The 25610-nt window shown below is 37.3% G+C and overlaps 1 protein-coding gene and 1 long non-coding RNA gene across 12 annotated transcripts in view; one reads left to right on the top strand and one right to left on the bottom strand.

Moving 5' to 3' along the window:
- NR3C2 (nuclear receptor subfamily 3 group C member 2) overlaps positions 1–25610 on the bottom strand; it is a 366559-nt gene that overhangs the window by 134853 nt on the left and 206096 nt on the right. The gene's annotated exons all lie outside the window — the stretch shown is intronic.
- On the top strand, positions 5568–12650 carry LOC102724672 (uncharacterized). Of its 2 annotated transcripts, XR_007058324.1 has the most exons (5): positions 5568–6109; positions 7319–7422; positions 7534–7599; positions 11265–11433; positions 11528–12650. It is a non-coding gene; the product is annotated as an uncharacterized LOC102724672 (long non-coding RNA). The 2 variants fall into 2 exon arrangements; XR_007058323.1 differs by having other exon boundaries at positions 11265–12650.

The following is a 25610-nucleotide window of genomic DNA, read 5'->3' on the forward strand; positions in this document are numbered from 1 at the left end:
TAGTTTAAGAAGACATTACATTTCAGACAGCCATTCTGCCTAAAAACACTCTAAATTATTTAAATTGAATTCTGATTAAAGTTAAAATAAAATCTTCTTCAATGGGGCATGCAACGTTCTCAGAACTTTTGCAAATGACAGCTTTGTAATCTGATTCTGTTTCATCCAGTAAAGCCATAAAATGAATACGCCACGAAACTACAGTCACTGTAGCTGTCTATGGAATACTTTACAACTTACATAGTCCCCTTTTTCTTGAGCTCCAAAAGGCAGGGAAAAATGGTGCAAATGGTTCTCCTTGAAGCTTGAATATTAAATACTAACTTGAATTATTGAAAAGAAAGTTTCACTTCTTATGGAAGAAAATACAGGGGTTTTCATTCTAACTAGGACTTACCCCAGGTCACAGAGGTAATGGAGAGATGTCAGACTTTAAATCAGAAGACCTGGGGTTGAAATCAAATTCATCTGCTCACTAGCTATGACTTGGTGCAAGTTACTTTACTTCTTAGGGGTCTATTTCCACTTCTGTGCAATTGTAAAAGTATAGTCTACCTAGCTAGATTATTGAGAAGTGCAGAAGAAACATTTTCAGATGCCAAGGGCAGTGCTTAGCAGAATAGGTTGCTAAATAACTTAGCTATTAATATTGATTCTAAAGTTGGGCCTTAAGCTAAGAAAGATCTCCTGTTTGTCAGTCTACATACCATATTGTCTAGGCAGTTTTTATTGGTGTTTTTGAAGAGTTTTTTTTTTTAAAAAGGAAAACAGAGTAATACAACAACTATGTTATATACCCACTTTCCACAATTTGGGTTGTCTTTTCAACCTAAAAACAAAAATAAAAATTTTCCAAATCATGATCTAGGTCCCCATGAATGCATTTGGCTCCATGACCATTTAGCCATTCAGATGGACAACTGAAAATTACCTATAACTAAGAAAACAGGGAAGAGAAGACTGCTCCTGAGAAGCTACCTGAGCCGCATCTAGGAAATGTGGGATCCAGCATCTTGCCACAGAGCTGAGCCATGAGATGATGAAATGAGTGAGGCAGCAGGAGCCTGCACGCCCTGGCTCAAGGAAAGAGCAGCTGCTACAGCTGCTGCTCAGGGCTTGCCAATGGCTGGCATGCTGGAATGCAGGCTCCGTGTTGCCAGACCTTTCACTACTTCAGGAGAGGCTGGACGTCGAGAGTTTATATGAAATCTCCCCATTTTTAAATATTGGCAAATAATTAAAAACGTTAAAAAAATTATGCAGGCCAAACAAAACATCTTGGCTGGCTTGATTTCAATCTGGAGAAATCAGATTAAGAGCCTTGAAAGGACAAGAGCACCCAGGCATGCAGCCTGGGGCTGCGTGCAGCCTTCAACAAGGGGATGGGGGCCTGGGTAAGGAGTACATTCTCCACCGAAGCCCTACTGGGCAGGATTCTAGCCTTCTATTTCCCTCCGTGTTTGGATTCTTATCTTTATGCCTAAGCATGAAAAACAAATCCTGGAAGCTGGCATTCGGATAAATAACACAAAGTCTGTTCGGGGTATGAAAAGGGAAAACAAGGCATCCAGAATACAGGCATGTCCCTGAATGGTGTTACCCTTATGTCCTTGGGATTCACAGCTAGATGCCTCTGGTGTTTCATAAAGTATCAGGAAAAAAACATTAAAATTGACACTCAGTTCTCTGGAAAACTATTCTAGTTCACTAAACTGCAATGTTATTAAATGCCCTTGAGGCGTTTATCCATGAACTGCTGCTGCATGCTGGTGGTGACTGCTGGGCAAGCTAACAGAAGCTGATCCGGGCTTTCCTTATGAGGAAGCAAATGCTGAGGATAAACAGTATGGAGAGCTGTGGATAAACAGTATGGAGAAGGTGGAGGTAATTCATTAAACTGCATCACAGCAATGCCACACGTGACCAAGGATATGCATTTGTAACACTGAGGTTAAAATAGCTATTGAATTTATGTGCCCTTCAACATACCCTGGAAAGTAACACTGGCACCAAAAACATGAGAACATCAAGTGAAAAGTCTTCCTCATTCTTTTGTCCATTTGAGAAAGGTGACAATTAACCTGTTAGGCTCTGAACACTGCAAAGATCTAGGAGATCTCCAAAGGGGTTAAATAGTAAATATTTTAGGCTTTTTGAGGCATAGTTTTTTTTTTTTTTTTTGAGATGGAGTCTTGTTCTGTCGCCCAGGCCATAGTGCAGTGGCTCGATCTCAGCTCACTGCAAGCCCTGCCTCCTGGGTTCAACCAATTCCCCTGCCTCAGCCTCCTGAGTAGCTGGGACTATAGGCGCCCACCACCACGCCTAGCTATTTTTTTTGTGTGTGTGTGTTTTTAGTAGAGATGGGATTTCACTGCATTAGCCAGGATGGTCGTGATCTCCTGACCTTGTGATTCAACCGCCTTGGCCTCCCAAAGTGTGAGACATAGTTTCTGTCACAACTACTCAACTATGTCATTATAATGGGAAAGCAACCATAGATGATATATAAATGAATGAGTATGGCTCTGTTCCAATAAAACTTTATTTATTAACACTGAAATGTGGATTTCATGTATTTTAACATATCACAAAATATTTTTGACTCCCCACCACCCCCCCAACCATTTAGTTCCCAGTACAAAAATAGTCAGGGGGCCAGATCTGGTCCCTGATCTAGGATAATGACCAAAGAAGAAATAGCATTTCCTGGTCAACTGCCGAAGTCAAAAGTGTGCTTAAGCACTTTATTGGATCATTTAACTAAGATAACAATCCCATGAAACAGTCTTAGCATCTCCATTTTACGTATGAGAACACTGAGGCTGGGAGCAGTGAAGTAACTTGCCTAAGTGTTTGCCGAGAGTAAATGAAAGAGCCAAGATTTGAGCCCAAGCAGACAGGCTCTGGCACCCTTGCTACACTCTGAGGGCCACATGTGCATATAGCAGTTCTTAGCCTTGGCTGGGTATCAGAACCTTACTGGAAACTTTTCAAAATACTTTCAATTTATTAAATCCTTTCAATTTATTAAATCAGACATGGTACCCAGGCATCTTTATACTTAAAAAAGACATTTCCCACAAATGTTTCTGGAGAACAGTTGGGACCTACTATATGCCCAGATCTTTGCTTTGTTGACTAAGTAGTATCAGACATGGTCCTACTGATAAACAACTTATTTATCTTGAATGTCAAATCACCCTGCTATCTGAACATGTTACCTAGCTCATGATCACAACCAGAGGTACGGTCTCCAAAGGTATCAAATTACAGATCAGACCCACAAGCAGCTAAGTCTTAGATGGTGGCCAAAGTCTTTTTTACCAAAGCCACATTTGCTGAAAGCCACCACCACAGAGCTGGGGATAAGCCAAACGTGAACTGAAACTGAAAGTTAAATTATATCAAGAGCAAAAAGTGGCAAGACAGCTAGTAAAGACAATACAAATGACACTTAAGAACTTTATATAGTATGTTTTAACAGAATAAGCATAGATAAACCAACCTGACTTGTGGCAAAGCACTTATTTGCATGACTGCAATGGGTTCCCCGTGGTCAGAGTTCCCCGCTACAGCTCTGGAAAGTATTTAAGTCTCTGGCTGGGAGAAAACTCACCATATGAAGCTTCTGTTGACCTCCCTTGCCAGACCTAACCTAGTGGAAACCACACAGGAAGGCAATCTGTCCAGAGAACTATGCTTCCATTTCAGAATACGAATACAGAAAACTCTTAGGACATGCACAGGAAAAATCTCTCATTTCCCACAGATCCCCACCTGGTACTTACACCTCAGAGATTTTCAGCCTTGGGACAGGGCCAGTCATACCTTCCTGAACTTCCCTAAGAGGCTACTTGTGCAATGGAGTCTTTGGAACTCACTGGAATGACATGACTGTCCTATTTAATTAAGTCTTCCCAAAACAGATCCACTCTGCTATTGTAGTCTCATCCTACCAATGGAGGTCCTTCCTCTTTCCATCTTTTCTTTTTGCTGACCTATGCTGGTTTGCCCCTGCTGTCTTTTGACCCCAGTTGATGTTTCTCTCCTCTTATCCATTTACATTTTTCTAACACCAAATGTGGATCCAGAATAGTGAATTCTGCGAAAAAGAATAGTCTAAAGTTTTCCACCCTCTGACTGGGCTTGAGTATTTGCTGTAAATCAAGTACTCAAAAAGCCTAGAGCTATAAACTGAGAAGACAAGGAGAAGAACTCTAAACAGCAGGCAGAACCCATGTGTAATGGACTGCAGCCTTCGTAATGAACCCTTGTAGCCACTAGTGAGAACTTTCAACAGTGGTATCTTTGAACATAAGGACAATGAAAACCTTTTAAAACCAAGGCAAATCTACTGTAACTACATGTCTATAATCGCTGGGAGGTTTACTCCATCAGATAAATAGTTTTGTTGTCTTGTTTTAATTTTCTAAAAGGTAACTTCAGCAGAGTAGTATAAAAGAAAAAGTTACCAACATTTGATTTCAACCTCTTAAGACACTAGGAGTCCAGTGTCTGCAGTGTGTTAAGGCTGTGAATTTGCTATAAGTCTAAGTACGAAAACAAAGGTAAATATCATAGCTACAGTTGATAGCTGTTGCATTAATGAGAACAAATAGAAATAAGATCTTAGTGACAAGAACACCTTTGGCAATATCAGGAAAAAGTTGAAAACATAGTTCAAACAGAAGCCTTAAAAACCAACATATTATAGTTGAATAGTCTATCATATAAATGATGAAGGAGTCTGCAAAATCATAGGAAATGCTACTGTCTCTATAGCCAAAAGGCTATAGAACATAAACACATATTATCTTACTGGCAACAAGAATCCCATATTCACCTAGTGGTTTTATTGTTTTGGTTTGGTTAACATTTTGGTGTACTTCCTCCATCTTATTTTTCAAGTACACATTTTTTTTTAAACATAGAAGTTATTTTTCCCCATTTTAAGTGCCCAATTAGTCAATTTACAGAGCTTCATAACCATTGTCACAATCCAGTTTTTTAGTACTGCCATTGCCCTAAAAAGGTCTCTTCTGCCCATCTGCAGTTAATTCCTGTTCCCACTCCCCAGTCAACTACTAATCTAGTTTCTGTCTCTTTAGGTTGGTCTTTCTGGACACTTCATATAATTGAAATCATATAATATGGAGTATTTTGTTTTTGGTGTTTTTCACTTAGCACAATGCTTGAGGTTCACTCATGTTGCAGTGCGTGCTGAACAGTATTCCATTATGTGGATATACCATGTTGTTTTTACATTTACCAATTGGCATCTGATTGTTCCCAAGTTTTTCTTGTATTGAATATAAATCTTTGTATGGGCATACATTTTCATTTTTCTTGGGTAGATATGTAGAAGTGGAATTGCTGGATCTTAGGTTAAGTGTATGTTTAATATTTTAAGAAACTGCCAAATCATTTTCCATGCTGGCTACACCATTTTACATTTCCACCAGCAATATATGACGTGTTTTTCCATAACCTCACCAAAACTTAGTACTGTTGTTTAAAAAGTATTGTTATTGTAGCCTCTTAGTGTATGTGAAATTACATCTCATTATGGTTTTATTTTGTAATTCCTTAATGACTAAAGACATTGAATATCTTTTCATGTGATTATTAGCCATTTATGTATCTCCTTTGTGACATGTAGATTATGCACGTCTACTCAAATCTTTTATCTAAAAGAGTTGTCATCTTATTATGGAGTTCTAGGGGTAATTTATATATTTTGAATACAAGTTCCTAATTAATGTCTTTAACTTTGCCTGGAACTCTAAAATTAAATGATCTTTCATTTGTGAGCTAGAACAAGGGTTCTCAAATTGTGGCCCAGGGTCTCAGGGACTGTTATGGGGGTTCAAGAAGTCAAAAGTATTTTCATAATTATACTTAGACATTAATTGCCCTTTTCATTCTCATGCTTTTATGAGTATACAATAGAGTTTTCTAGTGGCTACAAGAAGTGTTCACAATTATCTGAAAAGGCTCTTAAAATACTCCTCTCTTTTGCAGCTACATGTCTGTGTGAGGCCAATTTTCTTCATATACTTCAAAACAACAGAAGAATCCAGATGTCTTCTATTAACCAGATGTTGGAAAGGTTTGCAAAGATATAAAACAACGGCATTTTCTCATTATTTTAAAAATTTTATTTCAGAAAATATACGTTAATATGCGATGAGTTTTATTGTTATTTTTAAAGGAATTAACATACATTTTTAAAATGTCTTTTAATTTCTAGCACAAAAAATGTCAATAGCTATAACTTACATAAATAAAAGCTCTTTGGGATTTTCAATAATTTTTTCTTTGTTTGAGACAGAGTCTCACTCTGTCACCCAAACTGGAGTGCAGTGCTGCAAACATAGCTCACTGCAGCCTCAACTTCCCAGGCTCAAGCAGCTCTCACACCTCAGCCTCCTAAGTAGTTAGGACCACAGGTATACACCACTACACCCAGCTAATTTTTTTTTTCTTTTAAGACCGGGTCTCACTGTGTCCCCCAGGCTGGAGTGCAGTGGTGCAATCATTGCTCACTGCAGTCTCAAACTACTGGGTTCACGTGATCCTCCCACCTCAGCCTCCCAAGTAACTGAGACCACAGGCACGCACCACCAAACCCAGATAATGTTTTAATTTTTTTGTAGAGACGGGGTCTCACTATGTTGCCCAGTCTGGTCTTGAACTCCTGGCCTCAAGTGATCCTGCCACCTCAGCCTTCCAAAGTACTGGGATTACAGGTGTGAGCCACTGCATCCAGCCAGATCTTCAATAATTTTTAAAAGCATGAAGAAATCCTGTAACTAAAAGGCTTAAGAACAACAGAGGGAGAGAAACCATAAGTTAAGGAAATAGTGGACTGACTTCTGATTATAGAAACCATCAGAAAACATTTCCTGGCCAGGCATGGTGGCTCGTGCCTGTAATCCCAGCGCTTTGAGACGCCAAGGTGGGAGGATCACCTGAGCACAGGAGTTTGAGACATGCCTGGGCAACATAGCGAGACGCTGTCTCTACAATTAAAAATTAGCCAGGTGATGTGCATCTGTAGTCTCAGGCACTTGGGAAACTGAGGGGGGAGGATGGCTTGAGCCCAGGAGGTCAAGGCTGCAGTAAGCCATGATTGTGCCACTGCACTCCAGCCTGGGTGACAGAGTGAGACCCTATCTCTAAAAAAGAAAAAAAGAGAAAACATTTCCATATGCCAAAGTCAATCAACCAATCTCTAAAAATCAAATGAAAGCTTCATTGTAGAATCCAAGGAGAGGTGCAACACACAAGGTTTTTAACATCTGCTTCCTTAATTCAGACTCAACCAACATTTCTGAAGGCTTTGAGGCCCTTGCCATCACATGCTAAGAGGAGTAAAATGAAGAAGCTAGCAACTGAAACATGTACCAAGAATATCTGGGGGTGAGACCAAATTTCTGATGAGATTATTGTTGAAAATCTGTTAAACTCTGTACATTATATGGGGCTCAAACAGACCGCCTCTGCGATTATGTTTCCTTATATCTCCCTCAGTGTCAGCTTGCTCATCTATCTCCTGGGACATTTTTGTCAGAATACAGTGGCTGAAGCGTTTAAAAGGTAAACTGTAAGCCTTTATTACTATGTGAACCTATCAATAATTTATTTATGAATATATCTGTTAAATCTCAGGATTTCCAGAGTAGTAGCTTTATAAAGTCACATAAAGTGGACGTACAACTCATAGAACAATTCTTTCTCATTCACTGTACTTCACTGTCAGAGAGAAAAGGACTCTTTAATTATCATAATAATGTCATGAAATATTACAAATGAAAACTGGTGGTAAAAAACGAAGCACTAGATTGAATAAACCTCTTCAAAAAATTGATGTACGTTTATCTTCTTTTCTATTTATCAAGACTAGAAATGAATAAAACCTCTACTAACTATAAGACTTAAAGGTAAAACATATCTTTATTCTACTGGGAAGTCAGTTTAGAATAAGTGCTACAGGCCAGGTGCGGTGGCTCACGCCTGTAATCCCAGTACTTTGGGAGGCCGAGGCAGGTGGATCACTTGAGGCCAGGAATTTGAGACCAGCCTGGCCAACATGGTGAAAGCCCATCTCTACTAGAAATACAAAAAATTAGCTGGGCGTGGTGGCAGGTGCCTGTAATCTCAGCTACTTGGGAGGCTGAAGCAGGAGAATTGGTTGAACCTAAGAGGTGGAGGTTGCAGTGAGCCAAGATCTCACCATTGCACTCCAGCCTGGGTGACAGAGCAAGACTCTGTCTTAAAAAAAAAAAAAAAAAAAGAAAAAGTGCTACAATCTCAATCTCTAATATGTAATAATTATAGTAACCTAACTTATAAATTTGTGCATACATGTCTGTGTATGTATGTGTGTATATAGTAAAATAGTTAATATAATATGTAAAGATCTTGTACCATATCTGGTACATAATAAGCAATAATTAAGTGTTAATTATTACTATGACTGTTATTGACACCAAAGCAAATTCACTGATACTAAATTGGATTTTCATTTATTTAATCTATGGAACACCAACATTGTATTGCCTTGAAATTAAATGAAGCCTCATTGGAATTCAAATATATCTTATGAAGAATCATAAAATATCATCCAAAATGACACATTTTCTATTATTTGCAATTATGCGGAATGAAGACAGCATGAAAAATTAAAATCCCCAACAGACTTCTTACTTAGGAGGGGGCCCTGTGCTAAGTACTCAAAAGCCTATTGATTTAATAAATGAGTTCAAAGCCCGCATTAGCCAATAATGATTGCCTGAAAAAAATTCACCTTGGTTATCCAAAGCTACTGAAAAAGAAGATGAAAAATTTGTACTTTCTTCAACAACAACTCTGCTCTCTGGTAAAAATGGCAATATAATTCCTGAAATTTTCAAAAGATGATAATTGAAAGAGAAGCAATACACCTAGTAATGTATACACTGATTTATTATTAACAACTGAATTGCTGGAAAATCATTTAGGAAATTAACAAAACATAATAAAAGCAATACAATTTAAAATGCGGGTTATATATTCTGTTGGATAGAGACACCTCATTTAATTCAGGTAAGTTTACACCTTGCCATTTGAAATGTTTACATTTCAGAGAAGGAGCAGAGAAGGTAAAAGTTTGCTATTTATTTTACTGAAATTCAATTAAACAAGTGTTTATTGATCATGTACTGTGTGCCTACCAGCTTTTTAGATACTACAGGATTACACAGCCATTTCAGATAACATCATGCTCTTGGGAGCCGCATGAAGTAGATTAGATATAGTAAGACCTATATACATAAATGCATATATGAGAAAGAGGGAGAGGAGAAACAGCAAGATATTAGTGGTAAAAAACCAAAACAAAACAAAAATGTGGTAAAGATAATATGGGCAATGGAGCAAATGGAAACAATGTAAACTATAATTCTTAGAAATAATATTTTAAAAGCGACACAAATTGAATAGATGAATAAAAAGGACTCCGGTTCCAGCTCCACTTTCCAACCTTACCACCTACTCGGCCCTACACTGACACTCCCCTTCAGCAATACAGAGCTATGCAGCAAGCTCCGAATATTCCTCACGTCCCCTTCAAATCTCAATGCATTCTTTCTCCCCAGCCTCAAATGCATCCCTACTTCTCCGCTTACAGCCAAGACTCAGCTTAATTAAGACACATAAGGAACCACTCGTTTGACCCTCCCTAAGCACTACCATGTATTGTTAGTGTTGTTTTCATACAGATTTTTTAATTCTCCAACTAGACCATAAACTGGCTGAGCACACAGACTGTGTATTATACAAATCTGTGTCTTTCCCACGGTGCCTGGCAGACTGTCAATAAATATCTGGTAGTTGATTAAGGTGGAAGCTGACTTAAGAGCAAAGTCAGGGTGTTACTGAGCTATGATAAGCTTTTATTAAAGGAAGACATAAAGAAAGAAGTATTGGTAAAATACCAACTGAGTAGTAGTATGGTTAGTTTAGGGATACAGAAGAGTCTGTCAAGTGAAAGAGAAGAAACAACCTGAATTGGAAGAAAGAAAGAGGTAGAGCAGAGATATTTTGAATGAAGCATTAATAAGACTCAGAGGCTGATTTTTCATAAAGAACAAAGGTGAGAGATGAATCACAAATTACTTTAAGGTTATAAATGTTAGTGCCTGAAATAATCGTGATGTTATCATTAACAGTGATGTGAAAGTTGGGAAGAACTGCCAAGTTTGCAGGAAGGCTTAGAAGTTAAATTTTCATCTTGTTATGTTTTAGGTACCTGTAAAATATAGGCATGGGAAGATCCTATAGGCAAATGAACATATAGAACCTAAAAACTGAAGCTAGAGAGAACAAGGTGTTGACGATGTTGATTTGGGAGACATTCACAAACATATGTTGACTCAATGTACTAAAGGGATTAAGTGAAAAAGGGAAAAGACCAGAGAGTCAAGAATCTCAAGTTAGGTGGGAAGAATAGGGATCAGAGAAAGAATGTGCAAAGAAAAAGAAAAAAAAAAACAGAGGAAAAAGACCAAACTAGCATAGACAACATGCAAATCCCTAATCTCAGGAAGAAGCAGGTTATCTTGCAGTAAATAAATGAGCTAGAGAGTCAAGAATTTTATGACTAAGAGAAAAATTGAATTTTAAAGATTTTATAAAAGAATATCTATATACATACACACATTAGTCAAAATAGAATGTGTTACACTATTTCATGATATGACATTCAAAGCACAATGATTTTGTCTATTTCATTTCCTCAGCGCTACACACAGTAAAGCTCAAAGCAAGCACTAAATAAATGTTTGTCACATAAGTGTGCAGAATGTTTCTCTCCAGTTAGAACGAGTGAGGCAGCATTACATTGTGGGGACACAGAAAAACGAAGCTCTCTCAAGTCTATGGCAAAGCCAGTATTAGTATTCCATAGCTGGAGATCATTTTACATTTGTTCACTGTTTATGAATTTCAGCAGACTCTAACCTTCAAGAAATAGTGTGGTGTGTGGGAAAATGTTTGGGCTTTGAAGTGGAACAATACGGGTTAGAATCCCAGCTCTGCCATGTCTTAGAAAACTGTGAAGCTTCTGAAAGCAACAACTTGAATGTCTTCATTTTTTAAATGGTAATACTGATAACAATATCTAACTTACAGGATTGTTATAAGGAGTAGAAGAAACATTACATCTGATAAGGCCTGACTGGATGAAGGAAATTAACAAATGTTTATTTTCCTTCTTATTTCAGGAAAGCTACATCCAGAAAAAACTCCTGGAGTTGGGATTTCAAAATCTTATTTCCATTTTATTCAAGTTATTTCCTCTTTCTGCTGCAGCAAGGCAAAACTGATGAACAAAGAGCAGCTTATTATTAGGAAGTAAGCATTAAGGAATTATAACTTCAGCGAGGATGCCATGTAAGAACTGGAACTTTAAATCTTCCCTGGACAAACTAGAAGACATGAAAATACTGCAGATGAACCATTTATTATTCCTCTCTTTCTCCTGTAGGCCTCCTGGCTTAACTAGAATGCAGTCTCTCTGACTCTCAACCCTAGCTTACTCAAGAAGCTAGAGAATCCTGTTACCAAATCTGTATGGTTCTGGCTGGACTATAGGAAACATATTGAGGTTTGGGAATTTGACGGCGCTTTCTGCTGAATGACAGGTGAAAGAGTGGTTTATAAAATTGTATGAGTTTTTAGAAAAGTTTATCTACCTCCTACCTATCAGAAAATATGAGTTAATGTTTGCTAATATAATTCATTATGAAACAACATAAAATCATGCCTCAAAAGACACATATAAAAACATAAATTCCCTCATCTTTAGAACTTTGTTTTCAAGTTTATACATAACAATGTTATGAATTCTGTAGGAGTTTAATTTTTTCTTTCCTGAAACTGACACAAATATTCATTTAGAAAATATTTATTCCCATCATCTCCTAATGAATTACAGATAATTTATGGATATTAAAATTTGAATAATTTTGAAATAATTAGAGCTTTTTTGAAAAGAAAAATCTCAATATCTCTTCTGTACTAGTAATGGAGTTACTAAGTTGCAGAAAAATGTCACTATAAAAACACAAGAAAAACATTTTTTATTAACAAAAACCACATTCCTAAGGAAATGAAATCAAGGCAAGGTACTTAACAGCAGATTCATCTTGGAGATTATAATCCTAATGTTTTCACACTCTTACTCAAACATCTGGCACTCGACTGTATCACTCACTGGGTCATTTTTCCTCTTTCAACAAGGACTTACTCATAAATGTCCTATCTTTACACAGAAGTTTACTTAACTAAGAGTAGACATTTTCAGATATCTGTAATGCATAATATATTAATAACATTTAAATAAAATATAAGCCTTTATGCTTTCCTAAGATATGTGTAATCAGAAAATAATAACACAGTACAATTTCCTTAAGGCACCTATCACAAAAAAAGTTGCTGAAAGCTTTGTACACATGAATGTTAACACCTCAAAATTTCAGTAAGATCTTAATCAAAACCAGACATTATGCTCCACTCTGGGCCTTTTGTTTAACTGAGGTAAAATGTATCGTACAATATAGTAAGTCTGGATAAATGTTTCCCTGAGCCAAGAAAGCTACCCTGTGCTCTCTCCAGCCAATCCCCGCCCACCACTAGGAAACTACTATTCTAATTTCAGTCACATAGTTTGGTTTTTGCCTTTTCTTGAACTTGATGTAAATGAACCATACAGTAAGCACTTCTTTGTGTCTTTTTTCCCTGAAAGTTTTTAAGATCTGGGTTGTATGCATCAGTAGTTCATTCTTTTCATTGCTGAATAGTATTCCATTATATGCATATACATAGTTTACCCACATTATGAATAAAGATGCTATGAACATTCATGTGCACATATTTGTGTGGACATGTGTATTCATGTTCCTGGATAAATACCTGGGAGTGGAATTCCTGGGTCATAGCAATAGGTATGTACTAGGTAGGCCTAGGGTATATATACAGTGACTTTATAGGAAACTGACAAGCTATTTGCTAATGTGGTTGTGCCATTTTATGCTTCCCACCAGTGAAGCATGCGAGTTCCAGCTAATTCACATCCTTTCCAATATTTGGTGTTTTCTATCTTTATCATTGATTTCTGGAGGTATAAAATAGCATTTAATTCAGGTTTTAATTTGCCATTTGTATTTCTCTGACTACAAATGATGTTGAGCATTTTTAAAATGTGCTTATTGGCCAGCATCATTGGTTAAGCCTGTCTTTAAGTCTTTGGGTAGTATTTTTAATTTTTGATTTTCAAATAATTTCAGACTAACAAAAAAGTTTAAGAAAAGTACATAAAGTTCCTGTATAACCTTCACTCAGCTTCTCCAAATGTTATATAACATTATAAATCTTACATAAATATCTTAATCACAGCATAATGATCACTGAATTATAATTCAATACTCTTAACAAATCCACTTTTCTTATATTTCATCGGTTGTCCACCTATGTCCTTTTCGTGGTTCAGGGTCCAATCCAGGATCCTTGGTCTCCAACCGACAGTCTCTCAGTTTTTGTTTTCATGACCTTGACACTTTTGAAAAATACTGGCCCGTCATTCCGTAGAATGTTTTTGAGTTTGAATTGTCTGATATCACCTCTTGCTTAAATTCAACTTAGGCATTTTTGGCAAGAATTTAACAAGAGTGACGTTCTACCCTTCTCAGTGCACAATTCCAGGTGGTACATGATATTGACATTTCTCATTACTGGTGATACTAACTTTGATTACTTGGCTAAGGTGCCCGCCAGGTTTCCCTACTATAGTGTTATTTTTTCCTCTGTTCTTAATAAGTATCTTTTGGGGGGATATTTCAAGACTAGGCAAATATTCTGCTTCTTATATTTTCACCTACTAATTTAGCATCCATTTATCATTCTTATTTGTAACAATTATTACCATGGTGATGGCCAAGTAGTGTTTTTCTATTTTCCTCATTTCTTCTATATTTATTGATGGCATTGCACTGTAAGCTGTCCCTTTTTCACCATTGATAGATTTATTGTGTATGAAATTATGGATATTTAATGCATGCTATGGATTATAATCTATTCACCCTCATTTATTTATTTTGTTGTTCAAGGTATCCCAGATTTACCCACCAGGAGTTTCTTCAGATGAGTTCTTGTGTCCTTTTGAAATACCTCCATCCTTTTTTGAGACCTCCTTACTTTCTGGAGCCCCAGTATATTGCTGCTCCAAGATCATTTGTATTTTCTCTGCCCCTAGTCCTAAATCCAGCCACTGCTTAAAGATCCTGACTCTTTTTGGTGGTGAATGGTATTAAGAAGTCAAGATCTGGGTGCTAGCTATGCTTCTTGTTACTGGGTGTCACTGTATCTGGGCCTTCTCAGTAGACAGAACAAGGAAATGTAGATATGTTCACATAAAGAGACACACATAGGTATGTATGCATATTAAAAGCCAGGAGATCATAGTGCAATCTCCTATTGCAATCCAACATTACAGGGTTCATTCCTAATTTGCAATCAATCCCATTAGCTCCTGGCTGATCTTCCCTGTATTTCTTTGCACAAATATGCAGATATACGTGTATTATATATTTTCTTTTTTCTCACATGAATAGTTGCATTATTTATACACACACACACACACCCAAGTACTTTGCTTTTTCCAGTGACAGTACATCGTCCATATCAACTCAGAGAAACCTTTCTTATTCTTTTATAAAGCTGCACAGTACTCCATTGTGTGGATGTACTATGGTTTATTTAAGCATTATCCTAGGTTTGGGCACTTAGGTTCCTAATATTTTGCAATAAAAAAGCAAAGCTGCAATGATTTTTTTGCCAGCTTTTCATTGGGTAGTCTTTCTTCTTTTAAGCTATATATATAAATATCTCCATTACATATTATGGAAACAGGTCCTCTGTCAGATACATGCTGCAAATATTTTCTTCAGCCTATGACTTCCCTTTGCATTTTCTTAATGGTATCTTTTGGTAAGTGGAGTTTTAAATTTTAATGAAGTCCAACTGATTCATGCATCCAAATTTTGAAAACATAGTAAAGCAGAAGACAACATTTAAAAGTCAAAAGAACTACTGAAATTTGAGTATCTATTGTTTAAAGTGGCTGGATATGCAAAGCAGGAGACTACTGTTTATGAAACATTATATCCAACCCCATATAATAAAGGTGTTCAGAAAAACATAAAATATCCTTCCACCACAGCCAGACTGCCGGCAGGAAAGAAAGGCAAACTATCCGCAGGAAAGAAAGGCAAACTCCTGTATGATGCCTATAAAAGAGCTGAGAGGCATAGAAGGGATGAACAATTATGGTGAAAGAGCTGATGACTAGTAGTAGAAAGATTCTTGCCCAGGTCCCATGAAGAAGGCAACTGAGCAAAGACACAAGGTCTAGGCCAAGAAACCATCTCCACAGCCTTTTGCTGAAAGGAGATTAAAGCAAATTGATAGATGCAGGAGGCAGATAAGGGAACCTGCACAGGATCTCACCCAGGCATGCCCGCAATGAACTGGGGGCCCACATGCAAGCTTGGACAATAAAGTGGAACCACCCGAAATTCACGCCTTAGGCACTGGGAGAAGCCTGGCCTCTTCAGCTTGTGTGTGATGGCCTGGTATTCAAACAGTGAGGTGGGAGCCTGTTGGCAGAACCCCCTCTTTCTTCGCTGAGAACTTTCTTTTTACCTAATAAATCTGCCCTCCTCACCCTTCAATATTTCCTCATGTCTATTTTTTCCTGGTCATGAGATCAGAACCTGGATTTTAGCTGAACTAAGCAGCAAAATATTCTGCATCAAAATAAGGTTATAGTCCTGTGTGTATGCCAATTTTGGAACTGGAAAGGGTACTGGATCTTAATTCTAAATAAACAAATGATATGTGGGCTCTGGGTTTCTTGGCAGAAGGAGATGAGATACAGTTAGAGAGTACTGACATTCTCAGCCCATAGATACATGTTACCACAGGCCACAGATACTCCTGTGATAGCCAGGTCTCCCAGTTCTAAGATCTGCTAAAGTAAAGCAAAAATACACCCAAATGAAAGTCACCAAATGTCACCTCTGGCCAAAGATACCAATTTAAATAGTCAGAAGATAGTTTACGTTTTTTATAAGCAGCTTAAAGTTAAAGGGACATTGTAGTGGACATTATTGTAGCCTATGTATCACTCATCTCCTTTCCCCCTTCCCTAAAGAACTCTAGGTCTGTCCCCTTTCCAACCCTTCCCCTACAGCTTACTTATGTCCAGGGTGCTAACTCCAATCTCAACTCCAGGGAAATGCTTTGTTATCTAAGGTGATACCAACTGTTCACAAGTGACCATAGAACTCTGAGGTCAAAGGTTTCCTGAGACCTTCTGTGGGGGTGGGAAAGCTGTCCTTCTTTAATTGGGACAATTCTCTCTCTCTTCCAGTACATAACTGAGAAGCCACATAAGCTCTAGTACTAGAAATTAGCTTTGGAGTAAAACAGGCACTTACAGGGGAGAACAGAGAGATAAAAAGAACGCACTTTTTGTTTGTTTGTTTTTTGTTTTAGAGACAGCGTCTTGCTCTGTTGCCCAGGCTGGAGTGCAGTGGTGTGATCTTGGCTCACTGCAACCTCCGCCTCCCAGGCTCAAGGGATTCTCATGCCTTAGCCACCCAAGCAGCTGGGATTACAGGTGTGTGCCATCACACCTGGCTAATTTTTTTGTATTTTTTAGTAGAGACAGGGCTTCAGCATGTTGGCCAAGCTGGGCTTGAACTCCTGGCCTCAAGTCGTCTGCCCACCTCAGCCTCCCTAAGTGCTGGGATTACAGGCGTGAGCCACCACACGTGGCAAGAACCAAGATCTTGACATTGCTCTTCTCTTGTATTAGCCAATCCTGATAGCTGCCTTCCCTCTGAAATTGCAATTATGTGAGCCAGTAATATTTTGTATTATTGAAGTCAATTTGTATAGGATTTTTGAAAAATTATAGGCAAAGCACCCTAAATAATAGAATATCCTACTTAACATCCAATGCCTTTACCTTAGCTCTAAATTCTTCCTCTGTTTCATTTAAGCTTTCATGCTCAGTTATAACCATGCAGTGGGATGAAATAAGAGTAAGCGGAAGTTCAAGTTTCACACACAAAACAGGAGAATGTATTTATGTTTTAAAGTCTTAGTTCTAAATCCAACAGACCATGTGATTTCCTAGTATCACATTATAGGTTAACAACAGCTAAAGAACAAGAAAGATGCTCAGCAAATTCTCCAAATTTAAGTATCGATTACTGAAAACAAGCTCTTGTAATACAAACTCAAAATGAATTCTAAGATGTGTGTGGTGGTCACATGGCCTAACAGAGAAGACTGCTTTTTATTCTTAGTACCATCTAAAGGATGCTTAGGTCCTACTTGTCAAGGTAATTTTCACCCCTTGGTGAGTATTCCAATCTCTATGACAGATTAATCATTTCAAACAGTATTCTGTTAAAAGTGCAGTGCTCTAAACTGATGACTAAAAGTATCATTTTCTTAGAGGGATAAAATTCTCTAATGCATGTAAGGACCTAGATTCTAGGTCCAGATTAAAAACTAATGATGATATTTCACAACGAACCAAAACTTTCAATTCGGCCTTTTTGCTATAACCATTGATAAATTCTAATATATTCATTGTGAAGATCCAATAACAAACAGACATGCCTTAGAGATATTGAGAGCTCTGTTCCAGATCACCACAATAAAGCAAACATCCCAATAAAGCAAGCACATAGTTTTTTTGGTTTCCCAGTGCATATTATGTTTACACTATTACTGAAGTCTATAAACTCTGCAGCAGTACTGCATCAAAAAAAATCTACACACCTTAATTAAAAATACCTTATTTCTAAAACTGCTAATGATCATCAGCCTTCAGTGAGTAATAATCTTTTAGCAGGTAGAGTCTTGCCTCGATGTTGATGGCTGCTGACTGATCAGAGTGGTGGTTGCTGAAGGCTTGGGGCAACTGTGGCAATTTCTTAAAATAAGACAACAATGAAGTTTGCTGCAAAGATTTACTTTTCCTTTCATGAAAGGGTTCTCTGTAGCATGTAATACAGAACTTCCTTCAAAACTGTAGGCAATCCTCTCAATCTCTACCACTGCTGTGTCAACTAAGTTTACGTAATATTCTAAATCCTCTGTTGTCATTTCAACAATGTTCAAAGCATCTTCTCCAGGAGAAGATTCCATTTCAAGAAACCACTTTCTTTCCTCATCCATAAAAAGCATTTCCTCATTAATTCAATTTTTATCCTGAGATTGCAGCAATTCAGTCACATCTTCACGGTCCACTTCTATTTCTAGTTCTCTTGCTATTTCTACCACATCTGCAGTTACTTTCTCCAGTGAAGTTTTGACCCCTCAAAGTCATCCATGATGGATGGAAAGTTGGAATTAACTTCTTCCAAACTCCTGTTAATGTTGATATTTTGACCTCCCATGAATCGTTTATGTTTTGGATTGTATCATATTATAGAATGGTGAATTCTTTACAGAAACTTTTCAATTTACTTTGCCAGATCCATCAGAGGAATCACTATGCACGGCAGTGATTGCCTTATAAAATGTATTTCTTAAATAATAAGACATGAAAGTCAAAATTCCTCCTGGATCCATGGACTGCAGAATGGATGTGTGTTAGCAGGCATGAAAACAACATTAATTTCCCTGTACATCTGCATTAGAGTTCTTTGGTGACTAGGTGCGTTGTCAGCATGCAATAATATTTTGAAAAATATCTTTTTGTCTGAGCAGTGGGTCTTAACAGTGGACTTAAAATATTCAGTATACCATGCTGTGCACAAATGTGCTGTCATCTAGCTTTATTGCATCATGTATAGAGTACAGGCAGAGTAGATTTAGCACAATTCGTAAGGGCCCTAAGATTTTTGGAATCCTGGCTTTAACATAAAGTCACCAGCTACATTAGCCCCTGACAAGAGAGTCAGCCTGTCCTTTGAAGCTTTGAATCTAGGCACTGTCTTCTTCTAACTATCAAAGTCATAGGTGGCATCTATCTTCCAATAGAAAGCTATTTCATCTACATTGAACATCTATTGTTTAGTGTAGCCACCTTCATCAATTATCTTAGCTCAATCTTCTGGATAACTTGCTACAGCTTCTCCATCAGCACTTCCATCAACGTGAAGTGCTGCTTCGCCTTGCACTTGGAGACAGATTCTTTTCTTAAATTTCATGAACCAACCTCTGCAAGCTTCAAACATTTCTTCCGCTGCTTCCTGACCTCTTTTAGCCTTCACAGAATTGAACAGAGTTAGGGCCTTGCTTTGGATTAGCTTTGGCTTAAGAGAATGTTGTGGCTGGTTTGATCTTCTATCCAGACCACTAAAACTTTCTCCATATCAGCATTAAGACTGATACCAGCCTTAAAAGTGCGAATCTGTGAACATACAAATTAAACCAGCCACATGGTTTTCTTTCTTATCATTTGTGTGTTCACTGAATAGCACTTTTAATTTCCCTGAAGAACTTTTCCTTCTCATGTACAACTTGGCCAACTGGTGCAAGAGGCCTATCTTTCAGCCTATCTCAGCTTTCAATATGTCTTCCTCACTAAGTTTAATCCTTTCTAGCTTTTGACAGATGTGCAACTCTTCTTTTCACTTGAACACTTAGAGGCCATTGTTGGATTATTAATAGGAATAATTTCTTTAGGTTTTTTTTTTTGAAGCAGGGTCTCACTCTGTTGCCCAGACTGGAGTGCAGTGACACAACCACAGTTCACTGCAGCCTCAACTTCCCTTGGTTTAAATGATCCTCACACTTCAGCTTCCTGAGTAGCTGGGACCACAGGTACATGCCACCACGCCTGGATAATTTTGTATGTTTTGTAGAGATGAGGTTTCACCATGTTGTCCAGGCTGGTCTCAAACTCCTGGACTCAAGCAATCCTCCCACCTCAGCCTCCCAAAGAGCTCAACTCAATTGGGCTAATTTCAATATGTTGTGTCTCAGGGAACAGCAACGTCTGAGGAGAGGAAGAGAGATGGAGGGAATGGCTGGTTGGTGAAGCAGTCAGAACACATACAACATTTGTAATTTATGCTCACCGTCTTACGTGGTCATGGTTTGTGGCACCCCAAAGCAATTACAATAGCAACATCAAAGATCACTGATCACTATAACAGATATAATAATAATAATAATGAAAAAGTTTAAAATATTGCTAGAATCACTAAAATGTGACACAGAGACATGAAGTGAGCACATGCTGTTGGGAAAATGGCACTACTACACTTGCTCAATGCAGGGTTGTCACAAACCTTCAATCTGAAATTAACAAATGCAATAACTGCAAGGCACAATAAACAAAGTATAATAAACTGAGGTATGCCTATATCTAAAGATCATTGAAATAAGTGGCCCATATACTGAATAATGATGGGGTGACCATCATCCACAAGCAATCTCCCAAAAGTAATTTCAATGTGCAAGTTTGGTTTCTGTCATGCTAAGCATCCTAACATAAAGCTTTCTGTCTACTGAATACACTGTAACAATATGTTCAGTTTCTCTATGCTAGGTGTTAGGAAGGTGACAAGTTAAACAATTTTTTTATTTTGAGGAGAAATGCCATCAAAATTTATCAGTGCGCATCAGGCAGAATCACAGAGTGATTGCCCAACATTTCAATGGGTCTCCAGTACTTATATAACCTTATTTAAAAAGGGGAGGGAGAGGCTGGGGGCAGTGGCTCAAGCCTGTAATCCCAGCACTTTGGAAGGCTGAGGTGGGCAGATCACGAGGTCAGGAGATTGAGACCATCCTGGCTAACACGGTGAAACCCCGTATTTGTATTTTTTGTACTAAAAAATACAAAAAATTAGCCAGGTATGGTGGCATGCGCCTGTAGTCCTAGCTACTTGGGAGGCTGAGGCAGGAGAATTGCTTGAACCCAGGAAGCAGAGGTTGCAGTGAGCCAAGATTGCGCCACTGTACTCCAACCTGGGCGACACAGTGAGACTCCAACTAAAAAAAAAAAAAAAAAAGGAGGGAGGGATGGGGAATATAGGTAATTCTGCTGAAGGCCAATACATGGGTTACTAGGGAGAATGAATGGATTGCGGAACAGAGATTAACTTGGGTTTTCTCCCTCTATTTTCTTATTTTTTAACTTTTATTTCAGGTTCAGGGGTACATATGCAGGTTTGCTATACAGGTAAATTCATGTCATGGGGGTTTGGTGTACAGATTATTTTGGGTGATGCGTTTAAAACTTAAACTAGAAACAACTGCTAAACATGAAAATATTTTCACAATGTTTTGCACTAAACTATACCTGCTGTTTTATTATGTCATGAAAATATTCAAAAGAGCTTTGGAATGGTCAATAAATCGCATTTAAAATGACAACTCCTGGTTACAGGAGGGTCCTCATTAGAAACTATTTAGGACATTAAAATGTGTGGTGCTTCCTTGGTTCTTGATTTGTAAAAAGTGCATTGTAAACACTTATAAAAACAACTGTAAAAAGATCTTCATGAGATGATACTAAGGAAATTTTTGAGGATTATTCTTTTAATAATAGTATTTAAAAAATTTAAGTGGCAATTATATATATATATATATATATTTAAGATTCCTATCTCTTACAGATACATATGGAAGAATTTATCATTGAGTAGGACATGTCTTAAAATAATCCAGTGAGGCAGGAAAAGGGGATATGCCGCTAACTGTAGAAGTGAGGTTATGGATATTTGAGGGTTCATTATACTATTTTATCTTCTTTTGTGTGTTTGTAAAAGTCTGCGTATTAAGTTTTAAAAGCTTTTCATAAAAATAAGAATTAAAAGCAGAATTGTTCGGTGGACTTTTCTTAAAGTTTAAAATATAACACAACCATTCTGAAATGTGATTGTATTTTTTTCACTTTTAACTGCTTTATTGGGCTATAATTTACATCTACACAGTTCACCTACTATAGGTGTACAGTCTATTGATTTTTAGTAAGTTTTATGGTTGTACAATCATAGAAACAATAATTTAATTTTAAACCAGGAGAATTTTTTTTAGTGTTAGGAGAAGAGTGTTTTGTTGTTGTTGTGAAACAAGGATCTACTTCAACAATGGTTAGGACAACAGCTTAGCTGTTTTAGAACCATGTCTATTTTTCTCTTCTTGAAATACCAAAATAATTCTAAAACAAAAAAATTTATCAGCAACTAGACTTTGTGACTAAAGCTACCTTTCTTCCTCCATCTTTACTGATATATTTCTTCCTTGCCAACATTTTTTCCTCTTTTCCATATATCTTCTCCCTTGGCAGACGGCCACTGCCAGCAGCAGCGGGCAGATGCAAGATCTGAATTGACTCTTCTGTGTTTCTAAAGCTAGGCCAGTGCAGCTCCAGGGAGGGATCCCACTACCCATCTGACGTCCCCTTGGGAATGGCAGAATTATAACTCATCTTTCCCATTTCTGAGGAAGTGGGAAAAAACCTGAATCCCTAAAGCAGGGCTGAATACCACTGCACTCTTAGCTAAACTGATTTTTGGCTGCTCCACTGTCATTTCTACCCAGGCTTCAAGGTGTCGGGGTAAGTGATCCCCCACCTAACAATGGCTTCTGGTATGTTTCTATAGGAATTGTTCTGTGTTTACTTCAGTGTCAGCTCTAGAAATCAGCATTTGTGCTTTCATTTTCAAATCTTCAGCCTCAATGGAAAAAGAAAAGTTGATTTTTTAGTGAAATCCTATATGCTTTTCATATGGGTGAAAAGATAACTTTAGAATAATTCACTTTGGATGCATAACACTAATACATAATAGTATTAATATATAATAAATAAAATATACAATTAGCAACTGATACTCTTACACTTAAAAAAAGGTCAGAAAAGTTTTGTTTGAAGGTTTAGCATACCATAAATAAAATATTTGAGAATTTACAATCACTAATAATGCTCATATTTCAATGTTTTATGCACTTAAATCAAATACTTTGGGAAATTGTATCTAGCTGGACACTCATGGTCATCACTGATAAGGTATCACAATAGAATGTGCATCATACATAGAATCATTATCCAAACACTTTACAGTGTGTGAAAGGAGGTGATATTAAAAATTACGCCAGGACACAGGTGTACACCAAAACTTTCCCAGGCTAACTGGGACACAGGGTAACTCTAGTTATAAACACATCGATGCAAAAACACTTAAGATTAATGGGATTGAAGTACATTCCCAGTTCTTAAGGGGCTATCATCAATTCTTCAATTGTTCTTCCCAAGCTCCTACTTTTGGAAAGCATTAGCCACTAGTAAGGGAAAGAAGCCAAAGGATTCTCTTTTATAATTTTGTCCCTTGAACTGGGATAATATTTTACCTTTGTACCACAAACATTCTTATCTTTACATTTATATCTCACTGAACTATGAACTTTAATGAATACTGAATTTAGCAAAACAGATTACAATTCATCAAATGAGAATTATGACAATCACCAAACTGTGAAATTTGGGGGAAAAAATCAAATTCTAGGGAAGACATACCATCATTTGCAACTGGACAATTTAACTTTTTAAGAGACAGTGCCAAGAACCTTTATCACTATAAAATATCAACAATTTTGAGACTCTTTGATTACTGAGTAACTTAAATTAGAAATCCAAAATAGAAAGAGTCCACCTGGAGGTGCTCCCCAAAACTATTGATATCATTTAGCTAGTCCTAGAATTTAAATAACACTTCAATTTTCTTTAAGGTCTCTTCGCACTAAAAATGTCATAATTAAAATTCTCAGCAGTACTTACGTCTGTGAACGTTAAAACCAAAATCAAACTAAAAACTTAAAAACCACTGAAATTTATAAACCAGAGGGATTTTCCACTTTAGTAAAGAGATTATGATGAAATATGGCACAATTTTATGAACTTATTAGTCCAACTAAATGAATTTACATTCTGCAGCGCTTCAATAATTGTAGAAGTTGGAGCACTGCCCAAAAACAAAATGGGTTTTTTTTTTTTTTTGGAAGCCAAAATGATTTACATTGAAAATTAAATTACTGAATAAAATACATGGTATGAAGCTAAAATGGTTTATAATAGGTGAATAGTAGTGATAGAATTTCCTTCTCAGAAACGAGAAATATATATGCTAAAACCATTTCTGAATGAACTTCCAAAACTATTAACATCATTCATTTAAATACTTTGATATCAAGATGACACCAACTTAAATACTGGTTCTGACAGTTTATTCCATTTATATAAGATATCACAAGGAGAAATTTAGAAACATTCTGATGAACCCAAATGAGAAACCTCAATATAGCTTTTCAACTAATATTTAAAGCAAACCATCTGAGGACGCCATCAAATATGCTTCTTTTTTCCTAACTCATCACTACTATTACTACTATTTTATATTTTTATTTAAAATTAGCAACTCTATTTGCAAAAGTATCTATTTTCAGGCATCCTCGCTTAAGAAGCCCTCAGCAGGAAAGACTGCAATCACATGCAATTACAGATGGAAATGACACTCAAATTTATCTATGGTATTTGTTTCCCAAAGCCAAAACAATGTTTCCCTGAGCTATATTTCACCATTGGTTTGATCCTGTAAGACAAAAATAACTTCAGTTTCTTAATATCATCTGTAAGAATGGGAGAAATTTGAGCAAATCATTATTAGTCATGCTGGCAACAACAACAAAAAAAAGTCATTTTGCCAGACAAACGAGAGGTCAGAGAAACCAACACAGAAATGGACCTGAAGTAAGCTATCAAAAGTACAAGAACAATTTAAAAATCGTAATAAATATAAATGGCATCAAAAGACTATCATTAAATGTTGAATTACAGTGCACCACAGAGACCCAATTCAAAAGATAAGAAGTTTCCATGTTTTCTCTCACTGTTGAGTTTTAAAATATTATAATCCCTAAGATTTGATAAAGACAGACATTTAACAACTGTCCAGCATCTACCTATGACTTTGAGGAGACTCTGTATCTGGGTTTACAGCTCATTCACTTATTCATTCACCTACAGTACACTAGGTACTATGTTATTTGTAGAGACTAAAGCCTAAACAAGATAGAGTCCCTCTCTGCTTTCAGGGGTCTGGTAGGAAAAAATAAATAGGAATTTTAATAAATCATGTTAAAACCTAAGATAGGGCAAATTCAGGTGCCACAGGACACACAGGAGTCAAGGAAGCTTCGGCCACCTCTAAACTGAGTACTGAAGTTGTAGGAAGAATTAGCTAAAGTGAAGATGGAAAGAAGAGTAATCAAACACAGGGAACTCTGAGTCCAAGGGCCGGAGGTGGGGCAAGCAGCCCAACAGACAGATGGGAGAGGCTGGTACTTTCATAAACCAAGTACAGCTGAAGAATAGACGTAGAGGCATGAGTGAAAAGTGATGAAACTAGAGAGGGACAGGCAGATTCCAAAGTTCGTATATGATGCTGAAGTATTCTGAGGAAGCTTGAAAAGTGAAGCCAAGTAAATGTGTGAATGCTGGGTGGGCTCATTTGTCTCCCTGATACCTGTCCCCTAGCATC

Source organism: Homo sapiens, chromosome 4 (assembly GCF_000001405.40).
Source record: "Homo sapiens chromosome 4, GRCh38.p14 Primary Assembly".
In the NCBI taxonomy this organism is placed as follows: Eukaryota; Metazoa; Chordata; class Mammalia; order Primates; family Hominidae; genus Homo; species Homo sapiens.